This window comes from Homo sapiens, chromosome 6, assembly GCF_000001405.40.
Source record: "Homo sapiens chromosome 6, GRCh38.p14 Primary Assembly".
Taxonomy (NCBI): Eukaryota; Metazoa; Chordata; class Mammalia; order Primates; family Hominidae; genus Homo; species Homo sapiens.
Window position 1 is genome coordinate 38,778,310 of NC_000006.12, and position 15,332 is coordinate 38,793,641.

General features: G+C 37.6%; 1 protein-coding gene across 10 annotated transcripts in view; it reads left to right on the forward strand.

Annotated features, from left to right (window-relative positions):
• DNAH8 (dynein axonemal heavy chain 8) overlaps nt 1-15,332 on the forward strand; it is a 315,482-nt gene that overhangs the window by 62,999 nt on the left and 237,151 nt on the right. For all 10 annotated transcript variants that reach the window (XR_926078.3, NM_001206927.2, XM_011514319.3 and 7 more), the window contains 8 exons: nt 79-155; nt 1,657-1,756; nt 2,945-3,064; nt 4,695-4,830; nt 8,456-8,643; nt 11,494-11,574; nt 11,980-12,096; nt 13,246-13,365. Coding sequence is in view for 9 of the 10 variants with exons in the window: in NM_001206927.2 (NP_001193856.1) it covers nt 79-155; nt 1,657-1,756; nt 2,945-3,064; nt 4,695-4,830; nt 8,456-8,643; nt 11,494-11,574; nt 11,980-12,096; nt 13,246-13,365 (939 nt within the window). In the remaining variant the exon portion in view is untranslated. The remainder of the gene's footprint in view (nt 1-78; nt 156-1,656; nt 1,757-2,944; nt 3,065-4,694; nt 4,831-8,455; nt 8,644-11,493; nt 11,575-11,979; nt 12,097-13,245; nt 13,366-15,332) is intronic.

The window sequence follows — 15,332 nt, forward strand, 5'->3', positions numbered from 1 at the left end:
GAAAAGCATTAACTGTTGTTAAACAAAACCAATCTCTTTAACACCAAAAATCATTTAAATATTAATATTTTATTTTAGGTACAAATACAGGCATTTATGAACAGTAGTTTTGGGAAAATCTTATCTTCTCAGCAGGCTCTTCAGCTACTTCAAAGGTATTCATAACACTTTAAGCAGAGTAGTTTCTGGGGGGAATAACTTTAAATCTAAAAATACAATTTCAAATTAGGATGTTGTTGGAAATCTGTCCTACATAAACCTTAAAACTTACAAACATAAACTTTTCAATTACCACTAAATAGACTGGTAAAGATTTGAAATAAAGAATGATATGTTCTAATTGCATTGTTTTGGTAGCAGAAAGTCTTTCAACAAGAAAATGAAATTATTTCTCATGTTTCCCCTCCCTGCCCCCAGCCATGTCATATGTTTGGGGTTAATTTTATAGGTATTGTTGGAAAGGGAACAAATAATGTTTACTTCTACATACTGAAAGAATTTCTGAAAGTGAGATTATCTAAGAATAATAGATTCCAAAACTTTCCATTTTCCCTCCTGAGGGCTCCTGCACCTTAAAAGAAATTGTGTATACTTAAGGTGTATAACATGATATTTTTAAATATGTAGTGAAATGGTTGCTACAACCAAGCCAGATAACACATTCATCATCTCACCGAGTTATCTGTCCCCCACATTTTTTTGTGGTATGAACAGCTGAAATCTTCTCTCCTTTAGCTTCCTTTCCCTCTATCCTAACAGCACTACTCTCTCAAAGGGCGAGGAATCCCAGATTAGAGGGCTGAGCGGGACTAGAAGCCTTTCCCTTTCAGCACAGGGAGGGCTCAAGACCTGTGTCAGGGACGCTTGTGGAACTCTTCCCTGAGAGCCAGCGGATCTAGTGTTGGGTCTGGCTTTGCATGGTTCCACGGCTGTAATGATGGAGACCTGGTGAGACCATTGTAAAAAAAGTCAAAACAGAAATAACATAATTTTGACATGTGACAGTACTGCACAGATGGCAGGTACCATTTTCTTGGCGACTTCTGTCTCTGTCTCTCTATTTCTCTCTGTCTCTCTCTTTCTGTCTCTCTCTCTCTCTTTTTACCTGTAGTATGCTGATGTCAATTCATTTTATTACCAGAATGTTGTAGTTTTTAGTATTTCCTGTGTGTCATTCAGTCTCTGAATGGAAGTGACATTTAGCTGACAAAGTTGTTTTTGTGATTATGGTTAAATGGTTATATGGAATTATATGGAATTAACACTGGCAGAGGGAGAGTCAATGTGTTCTCTTCCATCTTTGCTAAGCCATCTCCTCACTCATCTTGTAATCTGTTTGTCATTTTCTCAGGGTGTCTTACTTGAATCCCCAGACTTGTCTAGGTCTCTCTTAGTTATAGGCATTTCTGACCCATTTGTAATTTAAATAATTATTTTTGTTACTCTTGGCAGATGTCTGTCTTTTCCATAAGATAATTGTGGGTTCCAAGAGAACCAGGACTGTACCTCCTATCTCGTTCATTGCTTTGTCCTAGGACAACGAATGAGGGCTGGTATGAATATTTGTCAAATGAATGAATGGATGGTTAGTATGACAGCAAGTCTTAAGTATATTTCTCATTTACTTTTTAACCATTCAGCTTTGATTACTTTTAGGTTTCAGAAGCTGAACATTCCCTGTCTGGGATTAGAAATAAACCACACAATAGAGCGTATTCTTCAGTACTATGTGGCTGAACTTGATGCTACTAAGAAGGCAAGTGTCATGTTTATAAATAAAATGGTACATTAGCACAAAAAGAAAAAAAATCTGAAAATATTTGCCATCATTGTCTCATGCCAAGCTTTTCAGAGTGATTCTTTCTCTGCTAAGGAGCATTGACGCTCCCTTCTGTGTGGGAAGGTGCTTGACAGTGTATATTGCTGGACAGCCAGATTTACTCCTCTTTGCTGTGATCTTACCAGTTATCCCACCATTATTTATTGAGTAGGAAGTCCTTTTCTCATTGTTTGTTTTTGTCATTGCTGAGTATGTACCCAAAGGAATACAAATCATTCTGTCATAAAGACACATGCACGCATATGTTCATTGCAGCACTATTCACAATAGCAGAGATATGGAATCAACCCAAATGCCCATCAATGGTAGACTGGGTAAAGAAAAGGTGGTAGATACACCATGGAATGTTATGCATCCAAAAAAAAAATGAATGAGATCATGTCCTTTGCAGGAACATGGACGAAGCTAGAGGCTATTATCCTAAGCCAACTAGTGCAGGAACAGAAAACCGAATACCACATGTTCTCACTTATAAGTGGGAGCTAAACATTGAGTACACATGGACACAAAGAAGGGAACAGTAGACACTGGGGCCTACTGGAGGGTGGGAGAAGGGAGAGGATCAGGAAAAGCAACTAATGGACACTAAGCTTAACACCTGGGTGATGAAAAAATCTGTACAACTAATCCTCATGACACGAGTTTACCTATATAACAAACAAACAAACAAACATGTAACCCTGAACTTAAAATAAAAGTTAAAAAAAAACTATCATATTGCCCCCGTTTTCTGGTGTGTGTATAGCAAAGCCCGTTTAAGTTAGTATTTTTGCCTATAGAAATATGGGCTCTAGATACTATTATGACAGATATTAATATGTAGCTATGTGCTCCGTTTGAATACCTCCTTGAAATTTGGGATAAGGGCAGAAAAAAAATACATGTAATAGGAAATAAAGGTGAAGAGAAAATTAAGTGTCGTATATGGTCAACATCATTGTTTCAAAATCTCAGGTTACCTTGGATGTGCATTTACATATTTATTGACTACCTACTGTATATAAAACATGAATAATGATAAAACAATACAAATATAGCTGTATATATTTTTTGCCTTCTCCCTTGTATTGAATTCAAACATTAACATCAGATTTTTAATTACAGCTTTATCATTCTCAGAAAGATGACCCCCCTCTTGCTCGCAACATGCCCCCTATAGCAGGAAAAATACTCTGGGTGAGGCAGCTCTATCGCCGGATAAGTGAGCCCATCAATTATTTCTTTGTAAGCCAAGAATTAAATTTTAATATGTGGATTTTGGTGGTTTTAATATAACAAATATATCATATCCTATAATATTTGTGTGCATTAAAGTAGCCAACAACGAGCCAATTCTTTTACCAGGCAAGGAAAATTTAGTTTATAAATATACTTGAGAGAGACAAAGTCAATTCCTTCAGGTTTAGTAGATAAGCCAGTCTAATTACAGTTATCTCAAAGTCAGTGAATCTTATAATTTTATGTCTTTTAATAACACAGGACACTTTGTAAAGCCTTTTAAAAAGTAAAAATAAAAAATTTGAAAACAATAAAGTACAGGCCTAGCACAGAAGCTTACTTCTGTGTATGGGCAGATAGGTCACTGATACATACTCAGTGAAGGTGAAGATAAAGCCAAAGAGTGTATTCCTGTATGAAGAACTGCCACTGAGAGCGGAATATAATACAGTTGATTCATTCTCTATGTCCTTCAGATTATTAGATTTCTGAAAAACAGGACAGTCTTGGGCCCTGTTGGCATTCTGAAATTGCCAGTTTGTCTTTTCTTTGTCCTTATTATTTTCTTAAATTTTATTTAAGAGACAGAGTCACAAGGTGGAGTTGGTTTGCTTGATCTCGTGCCCTTTGCTGAAATATAGAACAATATAACTACAAAACAGTAGTTTTGCAAGTAATTGTATTATTTCAGCATTATTAAATATGAAGATTCTGTTGTTTCTCTTTTGCTGCCATCATTTGTGTCATTGTTCTGAATATCAAAAAAAAATTAAAACCCTGAGTCCCTACTCGGGGGACTCAGTTGCTGATTGACTTTGTGGTGAGAGGGCAGAGATTGCCCTGTTTGACATGTGAATCGAAACCTAAATCTTTTGATTTTTAAATAAAGAAATTTTATTTATTTTTTAAATATTTATTTATTTATTTATTTATTATGGAGTTTTGCTCTCTCGCCCAGGCTGGAGTGCAGTGGCGCAGTCTCGGCTCACTGCAACCTCCGCATCCTGGGTTCAAGCAATTCTCCTGCCTCAGCCTCTGGAGTAGCTGGGATTACAGGCACCCACTACCATGCCTGGCTAATTTTTTTGTATTTTTAGAGAGACAGCGTTTCACTATGTTGGCGAGGCAGGTCTCCAACTCCTGACTTCAGGTAATCCACCTGCCTTGGCCTCCCAAAGTGCTGGGATTACAGGCGTGAGCTACGGCACCCGGCCAAGAAATTTTATTTTTATCGTTTGATACATGGTTACCTTTTTTTGCGTGCTGGAATTTAGGAATTTGCCCTGTTATTCATGGTTCAAGGAACATCAGTCAATTATATCTTGTCCAGAACAGTGGGATGGGATCAGAAAAGGAGGTAGAGACACTGAATGCCTGGGGCAGGCTGTGGGGCTGGAGGCCTCTCTCTTTCTAAACCCTTTGTTTCCTTTTCCAGTCTTCCCTCTATATACTGATAACGTTTCCCTACTTCTGCTTCTTGCTGATATGGCCTTCCCCATCTCTGTTTTACTGTGAGGCAGAATCTAAACTGGTAGCATAATTATTTGATATCATTTTACATATAAGTACTTTCATTATTTGGATATAAAAACATTCAGCAGTCTTTTAAAGTAAATCTTTTCCCTTAAAAAAACAGAAAAACTCAGACATTTTATCAAGTCCGGACGGTAAAGCTGTCATCCGTCAGTATAACAAGATCTCCTATGTGCTGGTGGAATTCGAGGTGGTCTATCACACAGCCTGGATCAGAGAGATTTCACAGTTGCATTACGGTGTGTATAACACTGCCATGAGCCTACAAAGTAGGGATTAGGTGATTTTGAATGAGTTCATAGTTCTGGAGAACTTTTTCCATCCCTTCCACATAATCTTAGGATAGTTACAATTTAGATTTAGGGATGCTACAGTGGTTTATTTGTTTACAGTTGTTAATAATATTCTGATTTTATAAGTGAAAATGATCATGACCTTGAAGATGACATACTTAACTTAGGACTTTCTACCAAAAACCAGTATTTGAAAGTAAAAATATCTTTAGGGATATTTCTCCAGACTTTATGAAAGTGTTCATATTCAGTTGTATCATGATATAGATTCAAATCTCAGTCCCATTCTGGAGAGAAAAAATTGCATCCTGCCTTCTTTCCTCTCTCCCTGCTTCCCTTCCTTCCTGTGTCTCTCCTTTACTTTCTCCCTTTTTTATTACTGAATTTAATTTCAGGTTTGAGCTCCAGTAAATGAAGCGTTTTAGTGCACTGTGTCTGCGTGCCTCTGAGGGGAGGGCTTATGTGTTGCCAAGGCTTTGGGCGGAGTTAAATGTGAGACGGGATGGTTCTTAGCCATTATCCAGCCCTCCTGGATGTTGTTTTTGTGTGGGCTCAATGGTTGGTCAGTTCAGATTCCTGCTTTGTCTCATCTTAACCTTAAACTCTTAGTTATAATCTCAACCCTAAACTCTTATACGTGACCTTGGTGGACCCCTTACTGGGTCCCTTGGTAGAAAGGTTTCTCCCTCCCAAACCAGCGTCTCCACCTCAGCAGAGCACAGCATTGCAGGCGCAGGAAGCACAAGTTCTGCAGGTGGGTTGCTGGAACGGTGGTGAGAGGAGTCACTCCTACTTCTGCCTCTTGGTTCCAGAACTCATGTATTTTAGCTGTGTGGGGACACAGCACTTATTTACAGGCCATTGATTCACAGCATACCTGCATCCTAGAGGACAGTGCCCCAACCCCCGCAGGGTGTCGTCCCTAACAGGAACCGTAGGTAAGCCTTTAATAAGCCACTTTTATCAGGCCAGCTGTTTCTGGGTGCTGTGCTATATGGTAGGACCCTGTGGACTCTAAAGAAAGCCTGTTTATGGAGCAGAACTCTCAAAGGAGCTTCGAGAGGAGCTTAAAACTCAGACTATGGAAAAAGGCAAAAGAGAATTTTTAACAACTGAAGCATATACTGGTTTTGTTTTGGTTCTACAATGCCGCGCACTTAATTTTCTTTTTCTCCTGGTGGTTTTTCTACCCCCAATACCCTTTCTCTTATCTGCACATATTCAAAAACAAGCTCTACAGTCACCTGTTTCATACAGCCTTTCCTTATTCTTCCTGGCAGAAAATAATAATTCCTCCAGAGCCCACCATATACTTTATCTGTAGCTCTTTCTCAGGACACTTACTGCTTTATAGATCTACCTTGTGTCCCCTACACCTTCCAAGGTTACCCTCTATGTCTGTTTCATCTGATATCCTTTAAAAAATGGTCATAGCTAACATTTATACAGTGCTCACCATGTGCCAGGCTTTGTCTCAGCACATTACATGTATTATGCAAATTACTTTAATCCTAACAGCAAACCTACAAGGAACTATTATTAGCCTTGTTTTACAGATGAGAAAACTGAGACACTGACACATTAAGTGGCTTGCCCAAGATCACACAGCTCATTCAAATTCAGATAGTCTGGCTTCCAAATCCGTTCTCTTAACCATTTAAAATACTGTACTGTTTCTAACAGTGTCAAGAATGATGCCAGGCATGCTTGGGGGCTCTTAAAATATTTTAAAAATGTCCAATAAGTAGACATTAGACAATCTTGATGAGTAATAATTTTATCAAGTTTTCAGAAGAGTTTGTTCCCCTTGAGAACATCAGTTGGCCTCTATTGGGTGCACTATACTCATTGCAGTGGATTGATGTCCAGGAGAAGTGATCACATACAAACAATATGAAGTAGAATTCTTTCATACTTTCAATATGAAGTAGAATTCTTTCGTGTTTTTTCACAAGTAAAACAAACAGTCAGTAGAATTCTTTAACTTCTTTCATTTCATTTCAGAAATGAATTGCTCTGGAAGGCTTCCTTTGTCCTAGTGATGTGACTGTACTTGGCCACATAGGAGCTTCTAGTAATAATTGGATATGTAGCATCAGCCTCCTTTAGTTGGTTGCTCAGTAAAGTTTCTCTGATGGTGGTTCACATACGATGAAATGCTTGTCTTGTCCTGGAGCAGACTTCCTGACTGTCATTATTGGTCTGTTTTAGTTGTCTTGACCTTTTTGTCTTTTCAAGCAAGCTCAGTACAGTTTTAAGGAAGACAGATTTAAATGTTCAAAAGTTCTTTTGGAATTTCCTTGGTAGGATAAGTGATTTATTTATTTATTTATTTTTATTTTACTTTAAGTTCTGGGATTTCTGCACCTGTCCACCTGTCATCTAGATTTTAAGCCCCGCATGCATTAGGTACTTTGTCCTAATACTTTCCCTCCCCTTGCTCCCCACCCCCCGACAGGCCCTGGTGTGTGCCGTTCCCCTCCCTGTGTCCATGTGTTCTCATTGTTCAACTCCCACTTATGAGTGAGAACATGCAGTGCTTGGTTTTCTGTTAGGATAAGTGATTTCTAATCCATCTTAAAAAGATTCTAAGCGAGTTGGATAAAATTTTAAGTTGAAATTGTCATTTAGCTTGAAAACCTGCATCATTAAGGGCCATATCAAGACTAATTTTATCTGATGAGTAAAAGTCAACTAACTTCAAAGAGATATACAAACTATTTTATTTTACTAGAAGTTTGATGTGGCCACATTCAACAAAACAATGTGAGGTTTGGAAGATTTGGTAATTGTGATAAAATTCTCATGTTAGTAGTGTTTGTTAATACAAGATGTAATTCAAACTAGCACATGCTTGTCTATAATAAGTGTTTTATTATTATGCCTGTAGAAGTTCTTCATGTTAAGCTAACAAATAATCTAAGGCTACCCAGTAAGAACTGCTTGGGCTTATGTATTTCAATTCATAATAAAATAGATATCTGAAAATGCTTGTTTATATGAATGATGTTTATGTGAGATGTAGTGTAAAACATCTTCCCTCCTTTCCAGGATTTCACAACTCAATGGTATTTAATAAATATTTCTTACTGATTTTGAGCCTATTTATCAGAAATACAGGATGGAGATTTAATTTAAATAAGCCTCTTTAAAGAAGACAGTTTGGGGTCTGAGTGGGAAAGAGTTTGAAATGAGGTGGGGCATCTTTTGTGATTCTAACCATCTTCTGGTTCTTTCTCAGGGGTGAAGTCATAATCCATAAGATAAACTGACATAGACCTATTCAACCCACTCAGAAAAATATTGCAATTCATAGCACAAAGCACCATTCTTGGTCAATGTTTCTCTCCCTGGATCTGATTTTGTGGCTTTGCAGACACTCTTCATTCATTTATCTTAGTTTTGAGTATTCACTATGTGCCAGACGCTGTGCCTTAGCACCTGGGGCATCCAAAACATTTCCTTTGCCCTCAAGAAGTTAGTAATCCAGGGGGCAAGACAGAAATATAAACACAGCTGGAAGCAGAAAGGAAATTCAGAATGAGTAATGTCAATCATTATTTATTTGTAGCTTTACAAGCCACGCTTTTTGTGCGACATCCAGAAACAGGGAAGTTGCTGGTTAATTTCGATCCCAAAATTTTGGAAGTTGTTCGGGAAACTAAGTGTATGATAAAAATGAAGTTGGATGTACCAGAACAGGCAAAGAGATTGCTAAAATTGGAAAGTAAATTGAAAGCAGACAAACTGTATTTGCAGGTAAGATAGATTATGTTTTCTAATTATTTTTGAAGGAGTTTTTTGGTAAAAAAAATATGTATATATATATATATATCCCTGCAGTTATGCTTCATGGCATTGAGGGAAAATTTGTTAATATGTTGATTCTTGATAGAATTAAAATACTGACTTGCAAACCAAAGAAAAGATTGGAAATGGAAAGCAAAAAGTGAGAAGATTATCAGAAATCAGATTTAGGTTTCTGGATAATGACTGACGAAATAGCAAGTTTCAAAAACTATTCTTAATATAATTTTATAGATCTTGTGCATTAAATTTTATAATATACTTATCCTAGAATATTTATAAGATATAAATTAATAAAGTGGGGTGACTATACAATACAAGTAGAGGTGATTCTCAACATTGTGGGGCAAAAAGGAGCATTATTTCAATTAAAGTTCACTAGTGCGGCAAAGTAAAATCTAACAAAATGAAAATGGTAGGCAAAAACTGACATTAACATGTACTGCCGGGTGCAGTGGCTCATGCCTGTAATCCCAGCACTTTGGGAGGCCGAGGTGGGTGGATAACTTGAGGTCAGGAGTTCAAGACCAGTCTGGCTAACATGACGAAACTGGGTGTGGTGGTGCACGCTTGTAATCCCAGCTACTTAGGAGGCTGAGGCAGGAGAATTGCCTAAACCCGGGAGGTGGAGGTTGCAGTGAGCCGAGATTGCTCCACTGCACTCCAGCCTGGGTGACAGAGTAAGACTCCATCTCAAAAAAAAAAAAAAAAAAAAAAAGTGCCATCAAAGGTTGATGATTGATTCAATCTTTGATTCAAAGGTCGAATCAAAGTATATTCAGATCCTAACACATTGTTTCTAAAATGTTTGACAAGAGTTAAGTAACATGAGAAATTCTTTAGAAAGCCAGTTAAAACAGCAAGCTGCATTAACTCCTCTTCTTTGCTTTTCTTGGCAGGCTGTGGACATGTATTTTGGAATGCAGGAAAATATATAAATGCAAGGACATTTTTTTTCCAGTACAATTAGTAATAGCAAAAGACTGGAGTCTAACTCCAACAATACAGAACTGATTAAATATGAGTTATAAGATAACTATACAGACATTAATGGAACAGCTGATTATTCAATGAGAAAATGAACTCTATTCCTGTGGTACAACATTTATAATTTTATAATCAATAATATAATAAATAAATTTCAGACTTTTCCTGTTTTTTTTTTTGTTGTTGTTGGAGTCTTGCTCTGTTGCCAGGCTGGAGTGCAGAGGCATGATCTCAGCTCACTGCAACCTCCGCCTCCTGGGTTCAAGCGATTCTCCTGCTTCAGCCTCCCGAATAGCTGGGACTACAGGTGTGTGCCACCATGCCCAGCTAATTTTTGTATTTTTAGTAGAGACGGGGTTTCACCATGTTGGCCAGGATGGTCTCGATCTCTTGACCTTGTGACCCACCCACCTCAGCAACCCAAAGTGCTGGGATTACAGGCCTGAGCCACTGCGCCCGGCCTATTGTTTGTCATTTTTATGATAGCCCTCCTGGTGAGTGTGAGGTGGTATCTCCTTTTGATTTTGTTTCATTTCCCTAATGGCTGGTGATTTTTGAGCATCTTTTCATATGCTTACTAACCTTTTGCATACTTTCGTTCAGCAGCATCTATTCAGATCCTTTGCTCATTTTTAAATTGAGTATTTGTCTATTTTTTTAGTTATAAAGTTCATTTTAGGTTTTAAATACTATCCCTTATCAGATATATGATTTGCAAATTTTTTCTCCCATTCTTTGGGTTGTATTTTCATTTTCTTGATGGTGTTCTTTGAAGCACAAACATTTTAAATTTTGCTGAAGTCCAATTTATCTACTTTGTCTTTTGTGTTTTTGGTGTCATAGCTAAGAAACCTTTTTTGAATCCAAAGTCATGAAGATTTGTGGCGTGTTGTCTTCCAACAGTTTAATAGTTTAGCTCTTACCAAAATAGTATTTAATTGTCTTTTTTTTGAAAAAAACTGGAGTAACGTTGGTATTGTGGAAACTGGATTTGGCATCAAAAGCCATGCATGAGCTTTTTTACTGGCTAGCTGTGACTTTGGAGGATTAGGTTTAAATGTACTGTTATAAATCGAAGCTAATATAGTTTGCATTACATCTTGCAAGATTTTAGCTAGTATTGAACAATATCAAGAAAGTCAAAGTTCTTTAGCCAGTGTCAAGTAGAAATAAAACTTCAACTACAAGTAATGTATAAAGGGGAAAGAGGAATCAAGAGCTTTGAAACTATTAGGTAAAAATTGAAACAGTTTGAAACAGTTTAAGATTATTAATTTGGAGATAAAGTAACTCGAATCTGCATTTCCCACACCACAGTGTAGTAAATTACAAAATAGTAAAAAATTGATCATCATGGATCATCTCTAAAACAACATCTAAGAGATAACATAAAAGCTTATTCTGTTTGTGTGGAAAAGCTAAATTTATTTTGACTCGAGAAAGCAAGTGTGGCATCAGTGATAAGATGAGGATGTTTTAATGTGTCAGAAGATAAGGAACAAAAGAGGAAATGTGTAATGACAGATATCACAAAAAGATAATAATTCAAACTACTTAATATACATCTAGAAAGACAAGTGATAAATATGAAAAATGAAGATGTAGAAATTGCTACTGACTTGTTTAAAGGAGATGCTCAGGTAATTTACAGGTACAGAGAAAGTGTGGTAAATCAGCATAAGTTTAAATGGGCAGCTGTCATGATGACAGGACTACGAGGAAACTGGGATTATGAAACCTTCCTGGAATGAATCAAAATGTGACTGCTACTTTAAAATGAATTAAAATAAAACATGCCATTTCAACTTCCTACAGGGTCTTCTGCAATATTATGATGAGTTATGTCAGGAAGTGCCTTCTGTGTTTGTCAATCTGATGACCCCAAAAATGAAAAAGGTTGGTATTGCTGAAGGTTTGTATTGATTTTCCTGTTATTTAAAATTAGATTTCGGTTCTATAAACTATGGATTTTGGAACATCTATTCTTCTTTAGACCCTCCATCTTTCTAGTTCAATTTTATAGCTCTGTTTTTTTTTTTTCTGCAGAATTTCTTGTCTAAGTTTCGTTGCCTTTGAAAAAACAACTAAATCTAAATCATGAGCATTTTTTCTGAAAATTCATGATTGTTTCCTGGACAGCCAAAGATGGTTAAAAATAAAAAGTCATCTTTATTAGGTGTAATAGAGGGAAAATACATGTAAGAAAATATAACATATAATATTTGTAGGTGATAAATCCTCTTCTATAAGTGCAGATGCTCCTGTTGATAATAGAAGCAGTTGTGTTTTTACCGTTTCTAGGTGGAATCTGTGTTGAGGCAAGGACTCACAGTGTTAACATGGTCGTCTTTAACACTGGAAAGCTTCTTTCAAGAAGTCGAATTAGTTTTGGATATGTTCAATCAACTTTTAAAGAAGGTATGATCTATACATTTAAAAAGCTATCAACATATATACTCAGGATATAAGTAATAGTTTGATTATTATGAAAGCTCTTTAAAGGGTATGACTTTTAACTAAAAGGACATCCGTTAGGTTTAAAATATCATGTTTTGGGCTGGGCACAGTGGCTCACACCTGTAATCCCAGCACTTTGGGAGGCCAAGGCGGATGGATCACGAGGTCAGGAGTTTGAGACCAGCCTGGCCAACATGGTGAAACCCCGTCTCTACTAAAAATACAAAAATTAGCTGGACATGGTGGCGGGCACCTGTAATCCCAGCTACTCGGGAGTCTGAGGCAAGAGAATCGTTTGAACCAGGGAAGCGGAGGTTGCAGTGAGCCGAGATCATGCCATTGCACTCCAACCTGGGCGACAGGGCAAGACTCCGTCTAAAAAAAAAAAAAACAAAACAAAAAACTTTATATTTCTTTTACTGGATTGGGGTCTTCATTTAAGTTTGCTTTATTCTTATCCCTGAATTACCTTGCATTTAATATGTTGAAATGATGGTTCAACTTCACACTGTAGCTTAGAATATGGGGTAATTATAGACTGTCAAAAGTGGCAGAGGAGAGTGCTTAAATATTAATATTAATGTATTTAATATTAACTAGATGAGATGATCATCAAATTGAAGATTGTCTATTGATTTCTGACATATTGGCTACATAGAACAAGCCTGTCATTTTAGATGTGCTGGTCTGTGTGTCATGGCAGCATGGTGTAGTAAACAAACTCAGAGGCTTTGGAGTTAGATAAACCTGGGTAGGATTCTCTGCCTGTTACTAGCTATGTGTTCCTTCCCAGGTTGCTTTACTTCTCAGAGCCTTGGTGTCTTTAGTTGTAAAACTGGGATATCAGTGCCTCCTGTGCTGGAATCAGGATTAAAGGAGATAACACAAATAAGGTTATGGCACATGTTATTGCTCAAGAAAAATTTAGTTTTATGTCAAGCTTTCTTTGCAGATGTCCTCCTAAAATGTTCACCAAATTATGCTTGGCTCAAGATGCAAGTTTCTAGACTTAGCCTTCTAAATTAATTTATAACTCAAGCCTCTTTTGGATGAAAACCTAGCTCTAAAGGAAAGAAGAGTTTTTTTTTCTTACATTTTTCTTCCTTGTAGATCAGTGACTTGTGTGAAATGCATATTGATACAGTTCTGAAGGAGATAGCCAAAACTGTGTTGATTTCTCTGCCTGAAAGTGGTGCTACCAAAGTAGAAGATATGTTGACCCTCAATGAGGTATGCATTTGTTCATTAAATTAGAATCACAAAAATATTGGCCTATAAACCTAAAATGTGAAATTTCAGTCTAAAAGTAGAAACCTGGGTCAGTAGCATTTAGACTTTTTTTTTTTGTTTTTTGTGAACATTCTCTGCTCCAAGGACTTTCATGCCTTCAATAGCAAGAGCCCTGGCCACAACCTAGACTAACATTTTGTTGATATCCTCAGCCTAATGCTGGCGTTTCCTGGGGCTCTGTAAGTGGTTCACAGCTCTCTTCCACTGTGCATGGCTACCAGGGCCATATCATTTTTCTCATGGCTTTAACTCCAACATACTTTCCCTCTAAGTCACTCAGAAACCTGGGAATCATCTAGACTTCTTTCCTCACCCCTTCATTTCCTATATCCAGCCAGTCCTGAGAGGCTTAGCCAGGACTTTTTTTTTTGAGAGGAAGTTTCACTCTTGTCACCCAGGCTGGAATACAATGGTGTGATCTTGGCTCACTGCAACCTCTGCCTCCCGGGTTCAAGTGATTCTCCTGCTTCAGCCTCCCAAGTAGCTGGGATTACAGGCCTGTACCAGCACACCCGGCTAATTTTTGTGTTTTTAGTAGAGATGGGGTTTTGCCATGTTGGCCAGACTGGTCTCGAACTCCCGACCTCAGGTGATCCACAGCTTTAGCCTCCCAAAGTGCTGGGATTACAGGCCTGAGCCACAACTCCCAGCCTAGGATTTTTTTCTTACTTAGATTTTGCTTGAGTTTCAGCCTGTTCTTTCCCTTTCTAGGTCAGGTCGTTACTGCTCATTTTGACTTTAGCAATTCATTTGGTGATCCAACTGGTCTCGCTGCTTCCATGTTTACCCTGACACATCCATCCACATTGCCATCAAATCTGATTGTGAAATGCCCCAGCTTAAATCCTTCTTGGCAGTGGCACATAGTCCTTGCAGGATAAAATGTAACCTCTTCAGCATTGTTATGTTGAAACTATTTAGATACCTGTTTATCCTCCATTGACTCAAAAGCACAAAGACAGGAACCCTGTCTAAACATTTTCAAGGACCAGCACATAATGCAACCTCTCTTATAAATTCAAGACATACATTTATGTTTTGAACTGAACTCTTTCTTTTTTTGAGACAGGGTCTTGCTCTGTCACTCAGGTTGTTCTGCAGTGGTGTGGTCATGGCTCACTGGAGCCTTGACCTCCTGGGCTCAAGTGATCTTCCCATTTCAGCCTCCCAAGTAGCTGAGATTACAGGTGCATACCACCACAACTTGCTAATTAAAAACATTTTTTTTGTAGAGACAGGGTTTCACCATGTTACCCAGGCTGGTCTTGAACTCCTGAACTCAAGCGATCCACCCACTTTGGCCTCCCAAAGTGCTGGGATTACAGGTGTGAGCCACCATGCCCAGCCTTAAAATTATTTGTTCTCAGTTTTGGGGTCTTGACTATAACTGAGACAACACTAAACAACCCATTACATTAAATTAGTTAATTAATTTAGTTTTTTGAGATGAGGTCTGCCACCCAGCCTGGAGTGCAGTGGCAAGATCATGGCTCACTGCAGACTAGAATTCCTGGGTTTATGTGATTCTCCTACCTCATCCTCCCAAAGTGCTGGGATTATAAGTGTGAGCCACCTTGCCTGTGAGATGACCCGTTTTAACATCCTGTTCTTGGTGTGTTCAAGTTTAAGATGATTATATCTTCTGGATTGGGTGTTCCTCTATCATTATTAAGTTTTTTATCCTTAAGTTATTTTGTTTGATATTGATGTAATTATACCAGCTTTTTTCAGGTTACTATTTTTCAGATGTGTCTTTTTCCATTTTATGACTTTCGTCCTTTTTGGATTCTCCTATTTTAGATTTTGTTCTTGTAAAGAACATTTAACTGTGTTTTATTTTTAATCTATTCTGAAAGTCTGTTTTTAAAAAACTGGTAATTTTGACCTATTTACATTAATTGTAACTA